The 19,937-nt window shown below is 59.1% G+C and overlaps 2 protein-coding genes and 1 long non-coding RNA gene across 7 annotated transcripts, besides 5 other annotated features; all 3 read left to right on the top strand.

The window, feature by feature from the left end:
• Positions 927 to 1,427: an enhancer, noted in NCBI's record as "H3K4me1 hESC enhancer chr9:139665256-139665756 (GRCh37/hg19 assembly coordinates)". NCBI's record gives its function as "activates a minimal SCP1, AML or CMV promoter by ChIP-STARR-seq in primed H9 embryonic stem cells {active_cell/tissue: H9 hESC(primed)}" and the evidence as "EXISTENCE:reporter gene assay evidence [ECO:0000049][PMID:30033119]".
• On the top strand, positions 2,079 to 5,888 carry LOC107987143 (uncharacterized). The gene is made up of 3 exons (XR_001746981.2): positions 2,079 to 2,149; positions 4,082 to 4,470; positions 4,557 to 5,888. It is a non-coding gene; the product is annotated as an uncharacterized LOC107987143 (long non-coding RNA).
• Positions 5,958 to 6,007: an enhancer, noted in NCBI's record as "active region_29326". NCBI's record gives its function as "activates an Ori minimal core promoter by ATAC-STARR-seq in GM12878 lymphoblastoid cells {active_cell/tissue: GM12878}" and the evidence as "EXISTENCE:reporter gene assay evidence [ECO:0000049][PMID:35858748]".
• Positions 6,018 to 6,067: an enhancer, noted in NCBI's record as "active region_29325". NCBI's record gives its function as "activates an Ori minimal core promoter by ATAC-STARR-seq in GM12878 lymphoblastoid cells {active_cell/tissue: GM12878}" and the evidence as "EXISTENCE:reporter gene assay evidence [ECO:0000049][PMID:35858748]".
• Positions 7,713 to 12,597, top strand: LCN15 (lipocalin 15). Of its 2 annotated transcripts, none has more exons than XM_011518672.2 (7): positions 7,713 to 7,838; positions 8,266 to 8,361; positions 8,448 to 8,518; positions 8,764 to 8,874; positions 9,942 to 10,043; positions 10,378 to 10,444; positions 12,448 to 12,597. In XM_011518672.2, exons 1-6 carry the CDS (start codon positions 7,828 to 7,830, stop codon positions 10,410 to 10,412), a joined length of 426 nt encoding a protein of 141 aa, XP_011516974.1. In that variant the 5' UTR covers positions 7,713 to 7,827; the 3' UTR covers positions 10,413 to 10,444; positions 12,448 to 12,597. The 2 variants fall into 2 exon arrangements, with proteins under 2 accessions (XP_011516974.1, NP_976222.1); NM_203347.2 differs by having other exon boundaries at positions 8,222 to 8,361.
• Positions 8,343 to 8,990: an enhancer, noted in NCBI's record as "H3K4me1 hESC enhancer chr9:139657693-139658340 (GRCh37/hg19 assembly coordinates)". NCBI's record gives its function as "activates a minimal SCP1, AML or CMV promoter by ChIP-STARR-seq in naive H9 embryonic stem cells {active_cell/tissue: H9 hESC(naive)}" and the evidence as "EXISTENCE:reporter gene assay evidence [ECO:0000049][PMID:30033119]".
• LCN8 (lipocalin 8) lies at positions 13,688 to 17,845 on the top strand. Of its 4 annotated transcripts, none has more exons than NM_001345934.2 (7): positions 13,688 to 13,780; positions 15,063 to 15,193; positions 15,639 to 15,709; positions 16,715 to 16,819; positions 16,898 to 16,987; positions 17,071 to 17,096; positions 17,722 to 17,845. In NM_001345934.2, exons 1-7 carry the CDS (start codon positions 13,688 to 13,690, stop codon positions 17,731 to 17,733), a joined length of 528 nt encoding a protein of 175 aa, NP_001332863.1. In that variant the 3' UTR covers positions 17,734 to 17,845. The 4 variants fall into 4 exon arrangements, 3 of the variants coding, with proteins under 3 accessions (NP_001332863.1, XP_016869761.1, NP_848564.2); NM_178469.4 differs by lacking the exon at positions 13,688 to 13,780 and adding an exon at positions 13,988 to 14,324; XM_017014272.3 differs by lacking the exon at positions 17,722 to 17,845 and having other exon boundaries at positions 17,071 to 17,332.
• Positions 13,784 to 13,973: an enhancer, noted in NCBI's record as "active region_29324". NCBI's record gives its function as "activates an Ori minimal core promoter by ATAC-STARR-seq in GM12878 lymphoblastoid cells {active_cell/tissue: GM12878}" and the evidence as "EXISTENCE:reporter gene assay evidence [ECO:0000049][PMID:35858748]".
• Positions 17,846 to 19,937: the final 2,092 nt, after the last annotated feature.

Genomic DNA, 19,937 nt, shown 5'->3' with positions numbered 1-19,937 from the left:
GTCACAAGGTGCCCCTCCCGCCAAGATTTAAGGGGTGGAGAATTAAACTGTCACTTTGAAGAAGAGAGTTCAGGACTGCCCCTTCCACCCAAGACAGCAAACGGGCCAGTCCTTGAGCAGGTAGATGGGGAGGGGAGGTGGCAGAGCAGCCTGAGAGCTACAGCAGAGTGCTGGTGGGGAGGACCATGGGAGGGACCACAGACTCAAGAACTGTGTTGAGAAGGATTTCCAGGAGGCTGGGAATGGGCCTGTCTTCCCTGAAATTAGTATTTAGAGAGAATCTGGAAGAAAACCATGCTCTCAGAGTTAGGCTTTGGTGTGGAAATCAAACCTTTGCCTGCTACACTGTTTTCTTTTTTTTTTTTCTTTTTTCTTTTTTTTTGACACAGAGTCTTGCTCTGTCACCCAGGCTGGAGAGTGCAGTTGGCACTATCTTGGCTCACTGCAACCTCCGCCGCCTGGGTTCAAGTGATTCTCTTGCCTCAGCCTCCCCAGTAGCTGGGATTACAGGTGCCCACTACTATGTCCAGCTAATTTTTTTATATGTTTTTAGTAGAGACGAGGTTTCACCATGTTGGTCAGGCTGGTCTCGAACTCCTGATCCCAAAGTGCTGGGATTACAGGCGTAAGCCACCACGCCTGGCTAATTTTTTTGTATCTTTTTAGTAGAGACGGGGTTTCTCCATGTTGGTCAGGCTGGTCTCGACCTCCTGACCTCAGGTGATCTGCCCACCTTGGCCTCCCAAAGTGCTGGGATTACAGGCGTCAGCCACTGTGCCCTTCCTGTTACATTGTTTTCTGGATGGTGGGAGACGGGAATATGCAAATGGACAATGAGCAGACCCTACCAGGACAGAGCTCTGATTCCAGCAGCCAGCGGGAAGCCCACAGCAAGCCCGGAGCAATGGCCCCCGTGCCCAGGACGTGGGTAGTAACTGGCAGCTGTCTTTCATTTTGACCCAGCTTCCGACAGGGCCCACCTGGAGTCAGGCAAACATGCTCCCGGAAAGTCCTGTTGGACGCCCTGCGCCTTCCCATTCTCTCATTCTTGGGGTCCTGATCCAGACGCTAAGAGAGGGGTTCTTGGACCTTGTGCAAGAAAGAAGTTGGGGCAAGTCCACAAAGTGAAAGCAAGTTTATTAAGAAAGTAAAGAAATAAGCTGAGCACGGTGACTCACACCTGTCATCTCAGCACTTTGGGAGGCCGAGGCAGGCGGATCACTTAAGGTCAGGAGTTCGAGATCAGCCTGGGCAACATGGTGAAACACCGTCTCTACTAAAAATACAAAAATTAGCCAGGTGGCACGCGCCTGTAATCCCAGCTACTCGGGAGGCTGAGGCAGGAGAATCCCTTGAACCCGGGAGGCGGAGGTTGCAGTGAGCCGAGATCGCACCACTGCACTCCAGCCTGGGTGACAGAGTGAGACTCTGTCTCCAGAAAAATTTAAAAAATAAATAAAGATAAAAAAGTTTATAGATGATGATTCAGGGAGAATTCGTGACTTGGTAATGATTTTATTTGGAGGATTATCACCAGAATAAAACGTTGACGATCTCTTTTTCCAATCCTGGCTCAGCGCTGACACACTTTCAGGAGGGACGCTGAGGGGTAGCTCCAACCCAAAGAAACGATGTACCCAGAGGCAGGCGGGGTGCGGGCAGGCGGGGTGCGGGGCAGGCGGGGTGCGGGCAGGCGGGGTGCGGGCAGGCGGGGTGAGGGGCAGGCGGGGTGCGGGGCAGGCGGGGTGCGGGCAGGCGGGGTGCGGGGCAGGCGGGGTGCGGGGCAGGCGGGGTGCGGGCAGGCGGGGTGAGGGGCAGGCGGGGTGCGGGGCAGGCGGGGTGCGGGCAGGCGGGGTGCGGGGCAGGCGGGGTGCGGGCAGGCGGGGTGCGGGCAGGCGGGGTGCGGGGCAGGCGGGGTGCGGGCAGGCGGGGTGCGGGCAGGCGGGGTGCGGGGCAGGCGGGGTGAGGGGCAGGCGGGGTGCGGGGCAGGCGGGGTGAGGGGCAGGCGGGGTGCGGGGCAGGCGGGGTGAGGGGCAGGCGGGGTGCGGGCAGGCGGGGCCCAGAGCGCAGAGCAGAGCAGACTGCCCCCTGGTGGAAGAATGGAGGGACGCCACCAGCACGCGGAGGGGAGCCATGCAGATGAGGCTGCGTGAGTGAGGAGGCTGCCCAGGGAAGGGGAGGGGGCTCGGGGCCCCCTGGTGTTGTCGTGCAGGGCAGACCCCCTCAGCAGGGCAAAGAGAGAGAGGAAGGTTTTTCCTCCTCCTCTGAGGGCAGAGGTCTCGGGTTAGGAAGTGCTATTAGGGGCAGGGTGCAGTGGCGGGGGCCTGGGACACTCGGGGTGGGGGCGAGGCCTGGCGTGGGGGAGACAGATGAGTGGCAGCCCTGGCTAACCGAAGCCATTGGGAATTTATTGGAAGAATATCTGAGCTCAGAGGATTAGCGGAGGCTGGAGAACAAGCAGGTGGGGACTGGAGCAGCTCTCAGGGCAGGAGCCAGGAGCCCAGCAAGAGCTCAAGGGGAAGGGGTGGCGGGGGGAGCAGTGCATGGAGGGGTAGCGGGGTGGCGGGAGGGCCAGTGCATGGGGGGGTGGCGGGGGGCAGTGCATGGAGGGGTGGCGGGGTGGCGGGGGGGCAGTGCATGGGGGGTGGCGGGGTGGCGGGGGGGCAGTGCATGGGGGGTGTCGGGGTGTCGGGGGGGGCAGTGCATGGGGGGTGGCGGGGTGGCGGGGGGGCAGTGCATGGGGGGTGTCGGGGTGTCGGGGGGGGCAGTGCATGGGGGGTGGCGGGGTGGCGGGGGGGAAGTGCATGGGGGGGTGGCGGGGTGGCGGGGGGGGCAGTGCATGGGGTGGTGGCGGGGGGCAGTGCATGGAGGGGTGGCGGGGTGGCGGGGGGGCAGTGCATGGGGGGGTGGCGGGGGGCAGTGCATGGAGGGGTGGCGGGGTGGCGGGGGGGCAGTGCATGGAGGGGTGGCGGGGTGGCGGGGGGGGCAGTGCATGGGGGGGTGGCGGGGGGGGCAGTGCATGGGGGGGTGGCAGGGTGGCGGGGGGGGGCCGTGCATGGGGGTTGGGGTGGGAGGGGACTGAGCTCTGAGAAAGGACCCCAGTTCACTATGTCAAAAACGAAAAAAAGGCAAGGCGCAGTGGCTCACGCCTGTAATCCCGGCACTTTGGGAGGCCAAGGAGGGCAGATCACCTGAGGTCAGGAGTTTGAGACCAGCCTGACCAATATGGTGAAATCCTGTCTCTACTAAAAATGCAAAAAAAATTAGACGGGCATGGTGGCTACTGTTATCCCAGCTACATGGGAGGCTGAGGCAGGAGAATCGCTTGAACCCGGGAGGTGGAGATTGCAGTGAGCTGAGATTGCACCACTGCACTCCAGCCTGAGTGACAGAGTGAGACCCCGTCTTAAAAAACAAAACAAGGCCAGGCACGGTGGCTCATGCCTGTAATCCCAGCACTCTGGGAGGCTGAGGCAGGTGGATCACAAGGTCAGGAGATCGAGACCACCCTGGCTAACATGGTGAAACCCTGTCTCTACTAAAAATACAAAGAATTATCCGAGCATGGTGGTGGACGCCTGTGGTCCCAGCTACTCCGGAGGCTGAGGTGGGAGAATGGCGTGAACCCAGGAGGTGGAGCTTGCAGTGAGCCGAGATTGCGCCACTGCAGTCCGCAGTCCCGCCTGGGGCGACAGAGCGAGACTCCGTCTCAAAAAAAAAAAAAAAAAAAAAAAAAAAAAAGAAAAAAAAGAAAAAAGAAAAAAAGAAAAGAAAACGAAGAAAAACCACAAATAAATAAAAGTTGAGGTATGATGTATGCACAGCTGCATTCGCCCCTTTGAGGGCACAGTTGTGTGAGTTTAGACAAATGCAAATGTTCATGGAACCACTGCAAGTGCGACACAGCAGCTCTGGTGCCCACAAAGCTTCCTCGAGGTCCCTTGCGGTCAATCACTGCCCGCACCTCAGCCCTCAGAGCCACTGGGAAGCCCCCTGCCCTGTGGGCTCACCTGTCCTAGAACGTCGTATAAAAGGAGTCGCAGATCGCAGCCTTTTCCACCTGGCTTCTGTCCCTCTGCAGGGTGCACCTGGGATTCAGCCACCTTCGTTCCTTTTACTGCTGAGTGTCCATCACGTGCTGCTCATGCAGAAGTGCTCAAGTTCGCTGTAAACGTAGTTTTCATTTCTCCCGGGTGGAGACCTCCATAAGTAGGTAGGTTGGTGGAATGTTTCACTGCATGAGAGTCTGCCAGGAAGTTTTGCAGTGTGGTCCCGTCTTGTTCTTCCCGCAGAGGGTGATAGCTCTGCTGACTCCCAGCCCTCACAGGCTCTAGGGATTGAGCCTGTTTCTGTGGAACGCCTTCCATGGTCTGCGAGGTGCACAGAGGGGTCTCAAAAAGCTTCCAGGTTGCATCTTCCCATGGACTGATGCTGAGCGTGTTCTCATCTCCCATCCGGATGTTTTCTTTGGTGGAGTATCTTTTCAGATCTCTTGCCTTTTTATTTTTATTTGTTTATATATATATTTTGAGACGGAATTTTGCTCTTTCACTTAGGTTGGAGTGCAACGGCGCGATCTTGGCTCACTGCAACCTCCCCCCACCCACCTCACTTTGGGTTCAAGCGATTCTCCTGCCTCAGCCTCCCGAGTAGCTGGGACTACAGGCGCCCGCCACCATGCCCGGCTAATTTTTGTATTTTGAGAAGAGATAGGGTTTCACCATGTTGGCCAGGCTGGTCTCGAACTCCTGACCTCAGGTGATCCACCCGCCTCGGCCTCCCAAAATGCGAGGATCACAGGCGTGAGATGCCACACCTGGCCTCTTTTTATTTTTAATGGAGTGGCTTGTTTTCTTATTACTCAGTCTTGGGAGTTCCTCATGGATGCTGGATTTCAGTCTCGTCTCAGGTGTATGCGTTTTGTAGATGTTTTCTGTAGGGACCAGCCCCACAGGGTTGGTGAGTTTCTCCCTGTGTGCTGAGATGAGAGGGCATAGAAATAAGGACACAAGAAAAAGACATAAAAGAAAAGACAGCTGGGCCTGGGGACCACTACCACCAAGACGTGGAGACCGGTAGTGGCCCCGAATGTCTGGCTGTGCTGATATTTATTGGATACAAAGCAAAAGGGACAGGGTAAAGAGTGTGAGTCATCTCCAATGATAGGTAAGGTGACGTGAGTCACGTGTCCACCGGATGGGGGGCCCTTCCCTGTTTGGCAGCCAAGGCGGAGAGAGAGAGAGAGAGACAGCTTACATCATTATTTCTGCATATCAGAGACTTTTAGTACTTTCACTAATTGACTACTGCTATCTAGAAGGCAGAGCCAGGTGTACAGGATGGAACATGAAGGCGGACTACGAGCGTGACCACTGAAGCACAGCATCACAGGGAGACGGTTAGGCCTCTGGATAACTGCGGGCAGGTCTGACTGATGTCAGGCCCTCCACAGGAGGTGGAGGAGTAGAGTCCTCTCTAAGCTCCCCCGGGGAAAGGGAGACTCCCTTTCCCTGTCTGCTAAGTAGCAGGTGTTTTCCCTTGACACTGACGCTACTGCTAGATCACGGTCCGCTTGGCAACAGGTGTCTTCCCAGACGCTGGCGTCACCACTAGACCAAGGAGCCCTCTGGTGGCCCTGTCAGGGCGTAACAGAAGGCTCGCACTCTTGTCTTCTGGTCACTTCTCACTATGTCCGCTCAGCTCCTATCTCTGTATGGCCTGGTTTTTCCTAGGTTATAATTGTAGAGCAAGGATTATTATAATATTGGAATAAAGAGTAATTGCTACAAGCTAATGATTAATAATATTCATATATAATCATGTCTATGATCTAGATCTAGTATAACTCTTGTTATTTTATATATTTTATTAAACTGGAACAGCTCGTGCCCTCGGTCTCTTGCTTCGGCATCTGGGTGGCTTGCTGACCACAGTTTTCCTGCTGTATCTAACTGCTGGCTTAGGTGAACCTGTCAGGGGCGTGGCTGGGAACTGGAACCTCCTGAAGACCAGTGGAGGCCACAAGCAGAAGCCCTCGGCTCCTTCCCTTCCCCGATGCTGGGGGCCAAGGGTCTTTCTCTGACCCTGTCCCCCTCTCACGTTACCAGTGGAGGGTGTCCAGGTTCTTGGCATTTTGAACAAAGAATTGGACAAAACACACAAACAAAGCAAGGAAAGAATGAAGCAACAAAAGCAGAAATTTATTGAAAATGAAAGCACTCTTTACAGGGTGGGAGCGGGCTGAGCAAGCAGCTCAAGGGCCCCGGTTACAGAATTTTCTAGTGTTTCAATATCCTCTAGCGGTTTACCATTGGTTACTTGGTGTATGCCCTATGTAAATGAAGAGGATGAAGTCAAAGTCATTTTCTCGGCTGAGCATACTGTCACGCCTGTAATCCCAGTACTTTGGGAGGCTGAGGTGGGTGTATCACCTGAGGTCGGGAGTTCAAGACCAGCCTGATGAACATGGAGAAACCCCGTCTCTACTAAAAATACAAAATTAGCTGGGTGTGGTGGCGGGTGCCTGTAATCCCAGATAGTCAGGAGGCTGAGGCAGGAAAATCGCTTAAACCCGGGAGGCAGAGGCTGCAGAGAGCCAAGGAGTGCACCACTGCACTCCAGCCTGGGCAACAAGAGCAAAACTCCATCTCAAAAAACAAACAAACAAAACGAAGTCATGTACTCGGTATGAGCCCTACGTAAACGGAGAGGATGGAGTGAAGGTACAAAGCCATTCACATTCCCGTCATCGTTAGTGTTTCCAGTTGATTTGGTTCTAGGACGCCCTTGGGCTCCCTGCGTCCAGGCCCTCTTCTCCTGCCTCACTCTCACTCCAGAGGACTGGCAGTGCTGGCCTCCCTGGCAGGACTCCCGCCCCTGACCAGAGGGGTCTGGGCGTGCTCCGAGGCCACCTGCTGCTCCTTGCCCAGTGTCCCTGGGTGCTCTGTGGGGACACAGAGAGGTCACTTGGGAGGTTCCTGCCTCTGCCAGACTGCGGCGCCTTCCTGGCGTCATTGCCCCCTGCACGCTTATACAACCAGTGATAAGGCGGTATCCAATGCCGTAATCCTCCCCAGGGCCAGCCCAGCCCTGTCCGGTCCCGTCCGGTCCCTGGCCTGCTTGCTGGAAGCCCAGCTGGGGGCTGCATCGGGGGTGGTGGGGGTCTGGAGTGAGGGGTGCCCAGGCCTCTCTCACAGTGTGGGGGCACAAGCTCTGCCCTGGACACTCTGCCAGTGTGACCCTACCCCCCATGTTGGGGGTGAGAGAAGGGGGCTTTCTGGGTGGCCAGATCCCAGGAGAGGGGGCCTAGCCAGACCAACCCCAGCCCAGCTCTCTGCAGCTGTACCCCAAAGGCCCTGGCCCAGCCCAGCCAGACAGAGTGTGGACAGAGGGGCTTGGGTGCGAGTCCAGGCAAGGCAGGACAAGTCTCTGCTGTGGCTTGGCAGTGGCCCCGTGACTGGTGACATAGTCTGGCAGGCCTAGGGGACAAATCCTCAGCCCGGGTGCATCAGGCCAGAGCCTGGCTGTCTGGAGCCCTCCAGGAAATGACCCCCTGGGCTGGGGGACATCCGAGTGATTGTGCCAAACAATGGACAAGGGGGCCGGAGTCTCAGAGCCGAAGTGCCTTCCGCTTCCATCTGCTCCGCCCAGGAGCAGGTGCACCCAGGTGGTGGCCTGGGCTATAAAGCTGGCCCCCTGGGGCTTGGGGACTCAGCACCAGGGGCTGGAGGGCAGGGGAGGGGATGATGTCATTCCTGCTCGGCGCAATCCTGACCCTGCTCTGGGCGCCCACGGCTCAGGCTGAGGTTCTGCTGCAGCCTGACTTCAATGCTGAAAAGGTACCAGGGGCCTCTGCTGTCCTGTGGTGGGTGGGAGCTGGGCCCCTGCCAGAGACAACGTGATAATTGTGACAACTGCCTTTCCTGGGGCGCTTGCTCTGTGCCCGGCCAGGCACGTGCTATAGACCCACTCTGCGCTTAATCCTAAACCAACCTGTGAATGGATCATTACTGCACCCACTTCACAGCTGGGAACTGAGGCTCACAGTTGCACTGTGACCTACCCAAGATGAGTTCCTGTCCACCTGGGCTCAGCTCACACCCAAGACATGGCCACTCCGAGACCCCTTGCTGTGTGACTTCTGAGTTGTCCCCTGGGTCCCTGGGCAAGGAGGGCCCTGCTGCTGGCTGTCCTGGCCTGCGGGTGACTAAGCCCCCGGCAGTTCTCAGGCCTCTGGTACGTGGTCTCCATGGCATCTGACTGCAGGGTCTTCCTGGGCAAGAAGGACCACCTGTCCATGTCCACCAGGGCCATCAGGCCCACAGAGGAGGGCGGCCTCCACGTCCACATGGAGTTCCCGGGGTGAGTTACTTGGGCTGGGCTGCCTGGGCTGGGCTGGGGAGCTGAGGTAGCTGGGTGCCATGAGTGAGCCGGCTGTGCACCCCCAGGGCGGACGGCTGTAACCAGGTGGATGCCGAGTACCTGAAGGTGGGCTCCGAGGGACACTTCAGAGTCCCGGGTAGGTCCTGCCTCCTCTGCCTTCAGGGGTGCTGGATGCCGCTTCTCTGGGGGTGACGTGGGGCTGACTTTCCACCCGGGCCCAAGCTGTCCATCCCAGTCTCCAGCCCCCTGCCCGCCCTCCCCGCCCCTCCTCTGTCTTCGGGGAACAGGCTCACAGCCCAGCAGCAGGGGCAGGCATGGGTGGGGTCGGTGCCCGGGCCCATCCACTTCTCCAGCCTGAAAAGGCCGCCTGCCTCTCCGCAGCCTTGGGCTACCTGGACGTGCGCATCGTGGACACAGACTACAGCTCCTTCGCCGTCCTTTACATCTACAAGGAGCTGGAGGGGGCCCTCAGCACCATGGTGCAGCTCTACAGTGAGTGCCTGTCCCACCTCCCCGCACTGGCCCCTCCCCAACTTCCCACAGGCCCCGCCCCCCGTTCTGCCTACCCCCGCCCCGCCCGCCTGCCGCCCCGCGCCTCCTCACAGGCCCCGCCCTCACCCCTCCGCCCCCCGCCTTTTAGGCCGAGTTTAGGCTCCGCCTCCTCATCCCCGGGCCCGCCCCTTCTGGTGCTGCCCCATGCCCTCTCCTGCTGTGACCCTTCGCACACACTCCTGGCCTGGCCAGGACCGGGTGGGGTGGGAGCTGGGCCCGCCGTGCTTTGGATGTGGAGGAGGTTGGCTTGGGGGAGGGTCCCGCGGTGCATGCTCCTCTCTGGCCTCCTGAGAGTGGTGCCCCGCCCTTCCCTGCCTGGCCTCGCTGCCTGAGTTCTGGGGCTGGGGCTGAGGTTCTTTTTTTTTTTTTTTTTTAATATGGAGTCTCACTCTGTCGCCCAGGCTGGAGTGCAGTGGCGCGATCTCGGCTCACTGCAACCTCCGACTCCCCAGTTCAAGCAATTCTCCTGCCTCAGCCCCCCGATAAGCTGGGACTACAGGCGCCCATCACCATGCCCGTATTTGTATTTGTAAAAATATAAATAATTTTTTGTATTTTTAGTAGAGACGGGGTTTCACCGTGTTAGCCAGGATGGTCTCGATCTCCTGACCTCGTGATCCGTCCGCCTCGGCCTCCCAAAGTGCTGGGATTCCAGGCGTGAGCCACCGCGCCGGCTGGGGCTCAGGTTCTTTAACTCCTGGGGACTCCCCGATTGGAGCCGACAGAGTGAGGCTGGAGGCTTCCGGGCTGCAGGGAAAGAGGCTCAAGGGGTAGTGGGGCCCAGGAGGACAGCCAGACCACCCCAACCTCCCAGACATCTTGGTGTGAATTGGGGAAGGGGGCCCCAAGTTTCCTTCAGCCAGGCAGGAGCTTTATGCCGCGCACAACCTGCCCAACCCAGGGTGGCGGCCTTGCTGTCAGCCCTCAGGCTGGTGGAGTGAGGCCAGGAGACCCCGTGCTGCACTCCTGTGAGCTGCTGAGTTCACAGTGACCTCTGCTCTGCCCAGGCCGGACCCAGGATGTGAGTCCCCAGGCTCTGAAGTCCTTCCAGGACTTCTACCCGACCCTGGGGCTCCCCAAGGACATGATGGTCATGCTGCCCCAGTCAGGTACCCTGGCAAGCCCCGCCCACCCCATGCCCCCCAGCCTCTCCCTCCCTTCCCATGAGCCCACCCTTCCTTCCCCTCACAGCACAGGCAGTGTGCGGGCAGCAGGTGGTCTTCTCTTCCAGGGGTGGGCTGGCAGCCCCTGCAGCCCCTACCCCACCTCCCCCAGAACAGACTACGGGAGAGGCTTTGGGCAGCGCTGGGAGGGAAGCTCTGGGCTCCACTCTCTGGGGATGGTGGAGCTGTCCAGTGGCCCTTGGCACCCAGGGGTTGGGGGCTGCGGGAAGCGAGGGCGGTCCTGGCCGTCAGCATCTCACGGATGTCTTCCTCCCCACAGATGCATGCAACCCTGAGAGCAAGGAGGCGCCCTGACACCTCCGGAGCCCCACCCCCGCCCTTCCCAGGTGGGTTCTCCAGGCCCTGCAGGGGATGCCCTGGTTGCCTCTCCCCTCCCTATCGCAGCTTGACATCTGGTTCTGTCTGCCCCATGCCTGCCCCGCTGTTCTGCCTGGCGACCCCATGCTTCAGGCCTCAGCTTAGACATTACCTCTTCCAGGAAGCCTCCCTTGATTTCCTAAGGTACCCATCACAGAGTACCACAAATGGGGCGACTTAAAACAGCAGAAGTTTGGCCGGGTGCAGTGGCTCATGCCTATCATCCCAGCACTTTGGGAGGCCGAGGCAGGCGGGTCACCTGAGGTTGGGAGTTCGAGACCAGCCTGACCAACATGGAGAAACCCCGTCTCTACTAAAAATACAAAACTTAGCTGGGCGTGGTGGTGCACACCTGTAATCTCAGCTACTTGTGAGGCTGAGGCAGGAGAATCGCCTGAACCCAGGAGGCGGAGGTTGCGGTGAGCCGAGATTGCACCATTACAGTCCAGCCTGGGTGACAAGAGAGAAACTCCATCTCAAAACAAACAGACAAAACCAGCAGACGTTTATCTCTCCCAGTTCTGGAGGCCAGAAGTCCAAAATCAAGATGTCCACAGGGCTGGTTCCTCTGGAAGCTCTGAAGGAGACTCCCTCCCACACCGCCCCCCCAGCTCCCACGGCTGCCGCTTGTCCTGGGCATTTCTTGGCCTGTGGAAGCATCAGCCCTGTCTCCGCCTCCGTCCTCCCACAGCCACCTTCCTTCTGTGCATCTGTGTCCAAACTGCCCCCTAGTGTCTGTGCTGCCGAAGCGAGTGCCCCACGGCCCTCTTCTTAGGAGGATGCCTGTGCTTGGATTCAGGGCCCACTGTAAATGCAGGATGATCTAATCTCCAGATTCTAAACTAGTGGTATCTGCAAAGACCGTTTCCAAATAAGGCCACGTTCGGAGGTTCCAGGTGGGCCTGAAGTTTTGGGGACACGATTCAATCCACAGCTCTGTGTCCCCGCTGTATCCACACAGCCCCTGGCTCCCTCCCCAGGGCAGGGTCCTGCCTTGTAATTGTGGGAGCCTTGTCTTCTCCCCCAGGGCCCAGGAGGGCAGACCACAGCCTTCGCGCGCAGTGCCCCTCACAGGAGCCACGTGCGGGCGGGGTCTTGCGGAGATCCCCCCCTAAACCAGACGCCGGGAGACCGCTGGGTCCCTCGCCGGGGCTCACCGCCAAGAATCTGGGCACAGCCACACGTCACGTGTCTGACGTGACAGTCACCGGCGTCTGGAGGGACACTGGCCCTTCCTGGCATGGCGGGAGGAGGTGGGCGGCTCTGAGGCGGGGCTGTTTCTCCTGCGTTTCTGCCGTGCTGCTGTTGCGTTTCCTGCATCTCTGCTCCTCTCCATGAGCTTCGCCTCCACTCCCAGGACCCTCTCCCTGGAGACTCGCCGTCCTGCCTGGGGACACTGGGGCTGTTCAGCTTTGCACAAGTCTGCACCAACGTCTCCCTGCACACCCCCGCTGGGTTGGGAAACATGGGGGGCAACACCAAATCGCCCTTGTCCAGAAGGTTCTGTGGGCAGAACATGTAGCCCCATCCCGCCATGATCTTGAAGAAGCAGCTTTCGGGGTAGAGTGCCCCGCCTGGGCCACCACGCGTGACCGTGGAGGCTGTGGGTTCTGTGGTGGCTTCATGGACATTCCGGGGCTTTTCTTGCCATGCAGCCCCCTTCACCGAGGACCAGGCAGAGGCCATGGCTCACTGCCACTCAGCCAGGGACTGGGGCATGGCACTGGGTCCTCCCGCGCCGGGGAAGGTGGGGAAGTGCTGGAGCCAGGGATGGCCTCTGGGGCAGCCTCTCGCCTGGGGCAGCAGTGGTAGCTGGTGTGTGTTTCCAGGTTTGCAGGAGTTTTGGGAGCAGAATGAGCTCTCCCTGGCCTGTCAGTGGTGGCTTTGGAAGAGTGATGCCCAGCTTGTGGGGAGCAGGAAGGGCGTTTGTCGCGGGAGTGGGTGATGGAGTAGGCATGCGTTTTCTACGCAGGTGGAGCCAAAGCAGCAGGCGCCTTTGCCCCTGGAGTCAAGACCCACAGCCCTCGGGGACCACCTGGAGTCTCTCCATCCTCCACCCCCCGCCTGTGGGATGCCTTGTGGGACGTCTCTTTCTATTCAATAAACAGATGCTGCAGCCTCATGGCCCTCACCTCTTTGGACATGCCCTGGGGGAGGGCAATGCGGGCCCCTGACTGACCCCAGCACTGCTGGGGAGACTGAGGCAGGGAGGCAAGTGTGAGAAGGCCCTGGCCGAGGGAGCAGGACGCAGGGGTGAGAGGGCAGGAGGCAGGGGTGAGAGGCCCTGGGGAGGGGCAGGGGGCAGGGGTGAGGGGCCCTGGGAAGGGGCAGGGGGCAGGGGTGAAGGGCCCTGGGTGAGGGGGCAGGGGACAGGGGTGAGGGGCCCTGGGGAGGGGCAGGAGGCAGCAGCCACTCTTGGCCTGTGTGGGGGCTGCACCCACAGGAAGAATGGAGCATCCTGGCCCAGTCCCTATGGGTCTGCAGTGCTGTGGGGAACTGGGCACCCTGTGAAGACGGCCCGGCCACTGGGGCTGTGCTGGGCACACAGGCCCCGGTGCCGGGGGGGGAGCTGGGGGAGCTGCAGGAGGCCGGGGAGTTAGGCCCACTTGGGTTTTGCCCCTCACCACTGATATGATCGTGGGCACCTGGTTTACACCCCTGGAAATGGGTCACCGTTGTGGCCAGGGGACTGCCAGCCAGCCTGAGCGCTCCACAGCAGACCCACAGACATAGGTAGCTACCCAGCGTACTCCTCATTTCAAAGATCAGGAAACTGGCCTGGCGCGGTGGCTCATGCCTGTAATCCCAGCACTTTGGGAGGCCGAGGCGGGTGGATCACTTGAGGCCAGGAGTTTGAGACCAGCCTGGCCAACATGGCAAAACCCCGTCCCTACTAAAAATACAAGACTTAACCGGGCGTGGTGGCGCACACCTGTAGTCCCAGCTACTCAGGAGGCTGAGGCAGGAGAATCGCTTGAACCCAGGAGGCAGAGGCTGCAGTGAGCTGAGATTGTGCCACTGCACTCCAGCCTGGGCGATGGAGCAAGACTCTGTCTCAGGAAAAAAAAAAAAAGAAAAAAAAAATCAAGAAACCGAGGCACAGAAGGGTTGGGTAACTTATCCAAGGCTGCACAGCCAGGAAGAGGCCAGGCGGGCTGCAAGCCTGGGTGATCAGGCTCCAGGGCCGGGCTCCACACTGCCCCCGGGTGGTGATGCCTGGTGCAGCAGAGGCCCTCCCCACTGTCACTGTCACTCTGGTCGCTGGCGCTGTGCCTCCGGCCTCCGGAGCTCTGACTGCCCACTGCGTCTGGCACACATTTCAAAGGGCCAGGCGTGGGGTGGCACAGGAAAGTGCTGGAGGCTCTGGTCCGTTGCCCATCAGTGCCCACAGCCCTCGCAGCGCAGGCCAGAACGAGCCCAAAAAAACAAGTGTCATGTGGGGTGGGGGTCACCGAGCCCCAGGTGGTGTGGGTGGAGCTCCTCTTCCTCTCAGGCTCCGAGACGGCCCCAGCAGCGTCCACCGCTGTCCATATGCCAGGAGGGTGGCTGGGCAGGCTGCTGTCTAGGCCAGGCTAACCCCTGCGGTGGGCGTGGGTGTCACCAGGGCCGATGGCGCTTGTGCAGAAACCCACGTCTCTGAGCTGCCAGCAGCCAAGCTGTCCTGATGACATTCCCGGGTGGGCGCACAAGCCTGCACTGTCCGTATAGAATCGGCCCAGGCTGTGCAGCAGGGGAACCCGGAGCCCGGACCCCGCCACGGAGGCCAGGCTGCCGTGCACCATCCTGGGTGTCCTCGTGGTGCTCCGGGCGCAGGTGGCAGCAGCCATGGAGGAGCTGGACCGGCAGAAGGTGGCTTCTCCTTCTTAGTTGGTGGGGCTCCTCCTACACCCCCAACCCCTCAGGCTCAGGGAAGGAGGCCTCTCCCGGTGTGGGGAGCTCGTGGGGACGCTGGTGCCCGGCTAGACACTTCCTGTTAGCGGCATTTTCTTCTCCGCTGAGTCTGTGCCGGCTGCTGGGCCAGAGGCACATTAGCAGGCCCAGAGAAGGTAGATGCCGGAGACGAAGATTCTTTCCTCCCGAAAATGGTAGGGTTTTTAAAAGTCTCAGCGGAAGTCCCGGCTCTGGGCGGGTTGCTGAGGGCAGGAGGCCCATCCTCTGGCGTGGTTGGCAGGCTGGCGAGCTGCGCTACCCGAGCCACCTGTTCTCTGGCGTTTCTCACTCCGCCGCGCCCTGCGGGCTTTCTTTTCCAGGCCTCTGCTCCTGGGTCCTGCCTCCGAGGTCAGGCAGGGCCTGTGGTTCCTCCCGACATGTCGCAGAAGCCCTAGGGACTGTTCCGCAGCTCTAGATGGCCCAGTGGGGAGGGGCTGCCCTGTGGGCATTGCTGTCTGATGGCCTGAAGGCACCGCTTGGAGGGACACATGCCTGGGGACAGTGGGCTCACAGATGTCTTGCTGCTTTGCCACCGAGCCTCACAGCCATCTGCTGACCTCTCAGAGCCCAGCAGGCCCCTGCCCGGGGGTTCGTGGAATGCCCCTGGGGGTCTCAGACCCACTGCTCAGCTCTTGGCCAGGCTCCGTATCTCTCTAGATTGGAGGATTCTGGAGGGAAGTCGGTGTGGCCTCCGATCAAAGCCTGGTGCTGACGGCCCCGAAGCGGGTGGAGGGCTTGTTCCTCACCTTGAGCGGGAGTAACCTGACCGTGAAGGTTGCATATAACAGGTAAGAGGCCTGGGGGCTGCTGGAGAGGAAGAGGCATGCATGGCCGGGGACTGGGCGTGGGTTGCTGCACCCGCTGCAGCGTGGGGTCTGGGCTGAGTGCCGTCCCGCTGGTGGGCCAGCACTCCCGGTGCCCGTCTGCCTGAGCCCTCGACCCCCAGGCTCCTGGATCTGCATTTTATCCCAAATATAAGCATAGTGTTTTAATGAAGCCCCGTGAACTTAGAAGGAAGGAAAAGGGGTGTGGGACAGGTGACTGGCTGGAGGGAACAGAATCCCCAGGGGAAGGCCCCACCTGGCACATTCCCCGCCTCATCCTGCTCCAGGCCTGGGATACTCCACAGTGCTGCCTGTGCCCTTCCTAAAGACACAGCCCCACTCCGGGAAGGAGCCCAGCAGGCGGGACACAGGCTAGCATTTTACCGATGGGCACTTTGCTGCCTTTCAGCTCAGGAAGCTGTGAGATAGAGAAGATCGTGGGCTCAGAAATAGACAGTACGGGAAAATTCGCTTTTCCTGGTAAGTGCAGTTGCCCTGTGATGGCAGGTGGAACCCGGCTGTGCACACAGCTAGGCCTTATTGTTCCCCATGCTGTTCCCTGCACTGTTCCCCATGCTGTTCCCTGCACTGTTCTCTGTGCTGTTCCCTGCACTGTTCCCCATGCTGTTCCCTGAACTATTCCCTGTGCTGTTCCCCATGTTGTTCCCTGCACTGCTCCCTGCACTGTTCCACATGCTGTTTCCTGCACTATTCCCCATGCTGTTCCCTGCACTTTTCTCTGCGCCATTCCCCATGCGTTCCCTGCACTGTTCCCTGCACTGTTCCCCATGCTGTTCCCTGCGCTGTTCCCCATGCTGTTCCCTGCACTGTTCCTCATGCTGTTCCCTGCGCTGTTCCACATGCTGTTCCCTGCGCTGTTCCCCATGCTGTTCCCTGCACTGTTCCCCATGCTGTTCCCTGCAATGCTCCCTGCACTGTTCCCCGCACTGCTCCCTGCACTGTTCCCCATGCTGTTTCCTGCACTATTCCCCATGCTGTTCCCTGCACTTTTCTCTGTGCCGTTCCCCATGCATTCCCTGCACTGTTCCCTGCACTGTTCCCCATGCTGTTCCCTGCAATGCTCCCTGCACTGTTCCCCGCACTGCTCCCTGCACTATTCCCCATGCTGTTCCCTGCACTTTTCTCTGTGCCGTTCCCCATGCATTCCCTGCACTGTTCCCTGCACTGTTCCCCATGCTGTTCCCTGCACTGTTCCCCATGCTGTTTCCTGCACCGTTCCCCATGCTGTTCCCTGCAGGGTTCCCTGCACTGTTCCCCATGCTGTTCCCTGCACATTTCATGCCCCAGACCTTCCCATTCTCCCACCAACACACTGGATCATCCTTCAAAAGCTTCTGTAGTGTCTCCAACCACTCAAGTGCTGGGACTGGGTGGGGGCAGGATGGAGTTAGACCCTGCAGACCCTGGCCTTCGAGGTCCGTCCCCCTCAGACGTCTCCCCCAACGCCATGGCCGGCTCTTGAAGGCCACAGAGAGATCCACGTGCTGGACACCGACTACGAGGGCTACGCCATCCTGCGGGTGTCCCTGATGTGGCGGGGCAGGAACTTTCGCGTCCTCAAGTACTTTAGTAAGCTTGGCCCTGGGGGGCTCTGCCCAGCTGCTGCTCTCCCAGGGACTGCCCGCCCAGCCCCCCTGTGCCCCACAGCTCGGAGCCTTGAGGACAAGGACCGGCTGGGGTTCTGGAAGTTTCGGGAGCTGACAGCAGACACTGGTCTCTACCTGGCGGCCCGGCCTGGTGAGCCCAGGGGCCTTGGGGTGGAGGCTGGGCTGGGCCCTGTGGGCTGACTCTGCAGCTCCTCATGCTGGCCTATCCTGCAGGGCGGTGTGCCGAGCTCCTGAAGGAGGTGAGCCTGACCCCCGACCCTGGCCTGTGCTGAAGTTCCCGGGCCCCTGGCCCAGTCCCTGGCCCTGTCAGGAGCCCCCGTGGCTCCGCCTCCCGGCCCTGGGCTGGGCCTTCTCACCCCTTCCTGTGAACAGGACACCAAACACCACTGGTGGGCAGCTCCAGAGATGAGTCTGTCTCCTGGTTTGGAAAGAGCTGGAACCTCCAGGGTGGTGACCCTAGGCTGCCAGGCAGGGACCCTGGGAGGCTGGGGTCACGGGGTGCAGAGCTGGGTGGGGCAGGGGAGCAGAAATGGCGCCTTTTCTTCGGTGTTCTGTGCAGGACTGCCGGCTGCTTCTGCCCCCGAAGGTCCCGTCGGCGGCGGGGCACAGATCCTGCGGGCGCTGCCTCAGGGCTCCCATGTTGGGCACTGCGAGAACCCAGTGTCTCCCTCACCTCGCTTTGTCTTGGCCCTAGAGGCTGGGCCTGTTACCCCATTTTGCAGATTGAGAAGGCGCTCAGGGAGCTGGGTGCTTTGCGCAAAACCAGGCAGCGAGGACAGAAGTCCCGCCGTGTGGCCCTCATCGAAGCCCCGTGGGGCCTCCAGAGACCACACGGGCCTGAGCCCCTGCACTTCTGTGTCGCAGGAGCTGATTTAATGGAGTTCCTGCCTCAGACCACAAGGTTCGGAGCGCCCGCCCACCCCTGCCCCTCCTGGGCACCCTGCCCACCAGGTCACCTGCACCTGCTCTGAATAAACTGTGAAGTCAAGCCACTGCCTGGTGTGTCCTTCCGGAGGGCCGATGGGTGACAGGTGTGGGGGGACTCACCCGCCCCAGGTCTGGCAACAGGAGGTGTGTTTTCCGTGGTTACTGGACAAACAGTGCAGCTCACGTGCAAGGCAGCAACCCCTGCCCTCCCGCCCTGCTAGGGTCGTGGTCAGGCTGCCCCAGGGTATAGACCAGAGACAGAAACAGGGCTCCTGGTGGAGTCTCAGCAGGTCTGTCAAACGCATGGAGGCCACACCCCTCCTGCCTGCATCCTCCATGGCTCCCCACTGCCCAGGGCTCCAGGCTCACGGCCCGTGCTGAAGGCCCTACCCGATGGGCCCCGCTTCCAGCCTCCCTGGACCCCCAGCTGCCCAGCCCTGCTCAGTGTCCGCTTCCACAGTGGGCTGTCACCCCGTGGCCTCGGCTGCCACCAGCCGACTGCATCACTTTCTCCTCCCGCCTGGCCTGGGACACGGGAAGGGCAAGGAAAGTGACAGTGTCAGCCCGGAGGTTCTGCGCCCAGGCCCCTGGGGAATCAGCCGGTCCCCACATATGCAGGTGAGACAACCCAGGCTTATGAGGGTGGCTGCCTCGTCGGGGCGGCGGAAAATGATACCTGAGGTCGAGTGGTGCCGGGAGCTCTGGGGGAACAGCCCGAGTAGGGGGACCTCGCCAGCCCCCAGCACGGCCGGGACACTGGAAAGGCCCTGCTAGGAACAAGGGCTGCACCCTAGATGCGCCTCAAATCCAGAACTGTGCCCCCGAGACCCACAGGAGGGACATGTAGAGGCTGCATTCTGACAAGTTAGGGGCTCCTGGGAAACAGCCGTGACTTTGCGCAGCTGTGCCTGGCCGAAGCCCACGGGTTCAAGGAGCTTCGCCTGGACTTGGATTTCCTGCTGGAGGGGCTGTCACTCTCGCTGTCAGCTCAGGCTCCCGTGACAAAATACCCCAGACTGGGCACCTTAAACAACAGAACTGTATTTCCTCACCGTTCTGGAGGGTGGAAGTCCAAGATTAAGGTGCCGGAAAGTGCAGTTTCTGGTGAGGGCTTCCTGCCCATTCGCAGAAGGCAGCCCCTCGCTGTGTCCTCACCTGGCAGGGAGCGCTCTCTGGGTGCCTCTTTTTCTCCTAATAAGGACATCAGCCTGTTAAATTAGGGCCACTCCCTTTGACCTCACTTAATCTCGATTGTCTCCTAAGAGTCCCATCTCCTGAAACAGTGACCATGGGATCTGGGGCTTCAACGCAGGAATTTTGGGAGGGCAGAATTCATCCCAGAACAAAAGTCAGTGCTGTTTAGAGGGTGACAGTAGATGCAGGGCTGCCGTCATCAACAACGTCCTGCCCAAAAGTCACTGGACGTCCAAAGACACAGAAAAGTATGACCTATGTTAAAAAAAAAAAGAAAAAAAAAGTTACTAAAAACTGACACCGAGAAGACCCAAAGTTGTATTCAGAAGATAAAGGTCTAAAACAGCCATTATAAGTAGTTAAAAGAAAAGCAAGATATACTCTAAGGAAAGAAATAGTGACACAATAGCATTAAAGGACTAACTAATTGATAAAGAATTAAGGAGTGAATGTAGGAGATCAGATCAGGAAATCAAGAGAGAAATGGAAACTATAAAAAAGAAAAAATTATGGAACTGAAAAGTACAATAAATGAAAAATTTACTGGAAAGACTAATAGGAGTTGGCCATGGCAAAAATAATGTCCATGAATTTGAGCACAAATCAATGTAAATTATCCAGTCTGAGGAACAGAGAAGAAAATGGTTGATAGCACCTCAAAGATATGTGGGGCAAGATAAAGAATGTAAACTAGCCTGAGAAAGAGAAGAGAGTGAGAATACATGAAGAAACAGTGGCCAAAATAACCCAAACTTGATGGAAACATCAACTTAGCCCAGAGGCTCAGAGAAACCCAGGCAGGATGAAAAAGAAAGCCTCACAAAAATCACACCTGGGGACATTATAGTCAAAGCACTGCCAACCAATGATTTGGATAAAAATTTAAAGGGATCTGTGGATTAAAGACAGGGCACATCCAGGTTTGGTGGCTCACGTCTGTAATCCCAGCACTTTGGGAG

This window comes from Homo sapiens, chromosome 9 (assembly GCF_000001405.40).
Source record: "Homo sapiens chromosome 9, GRCh38.p14 Primary Assembly".
Lineage (NCBI taxonomy): Eukaryota > Metazoa > Chordata > Mammalia > Primates > Hominidae > Homo > Homo sapiens.
This window is presented reverse-complemented; position numbering and strand designations above follow the sequence as displayed.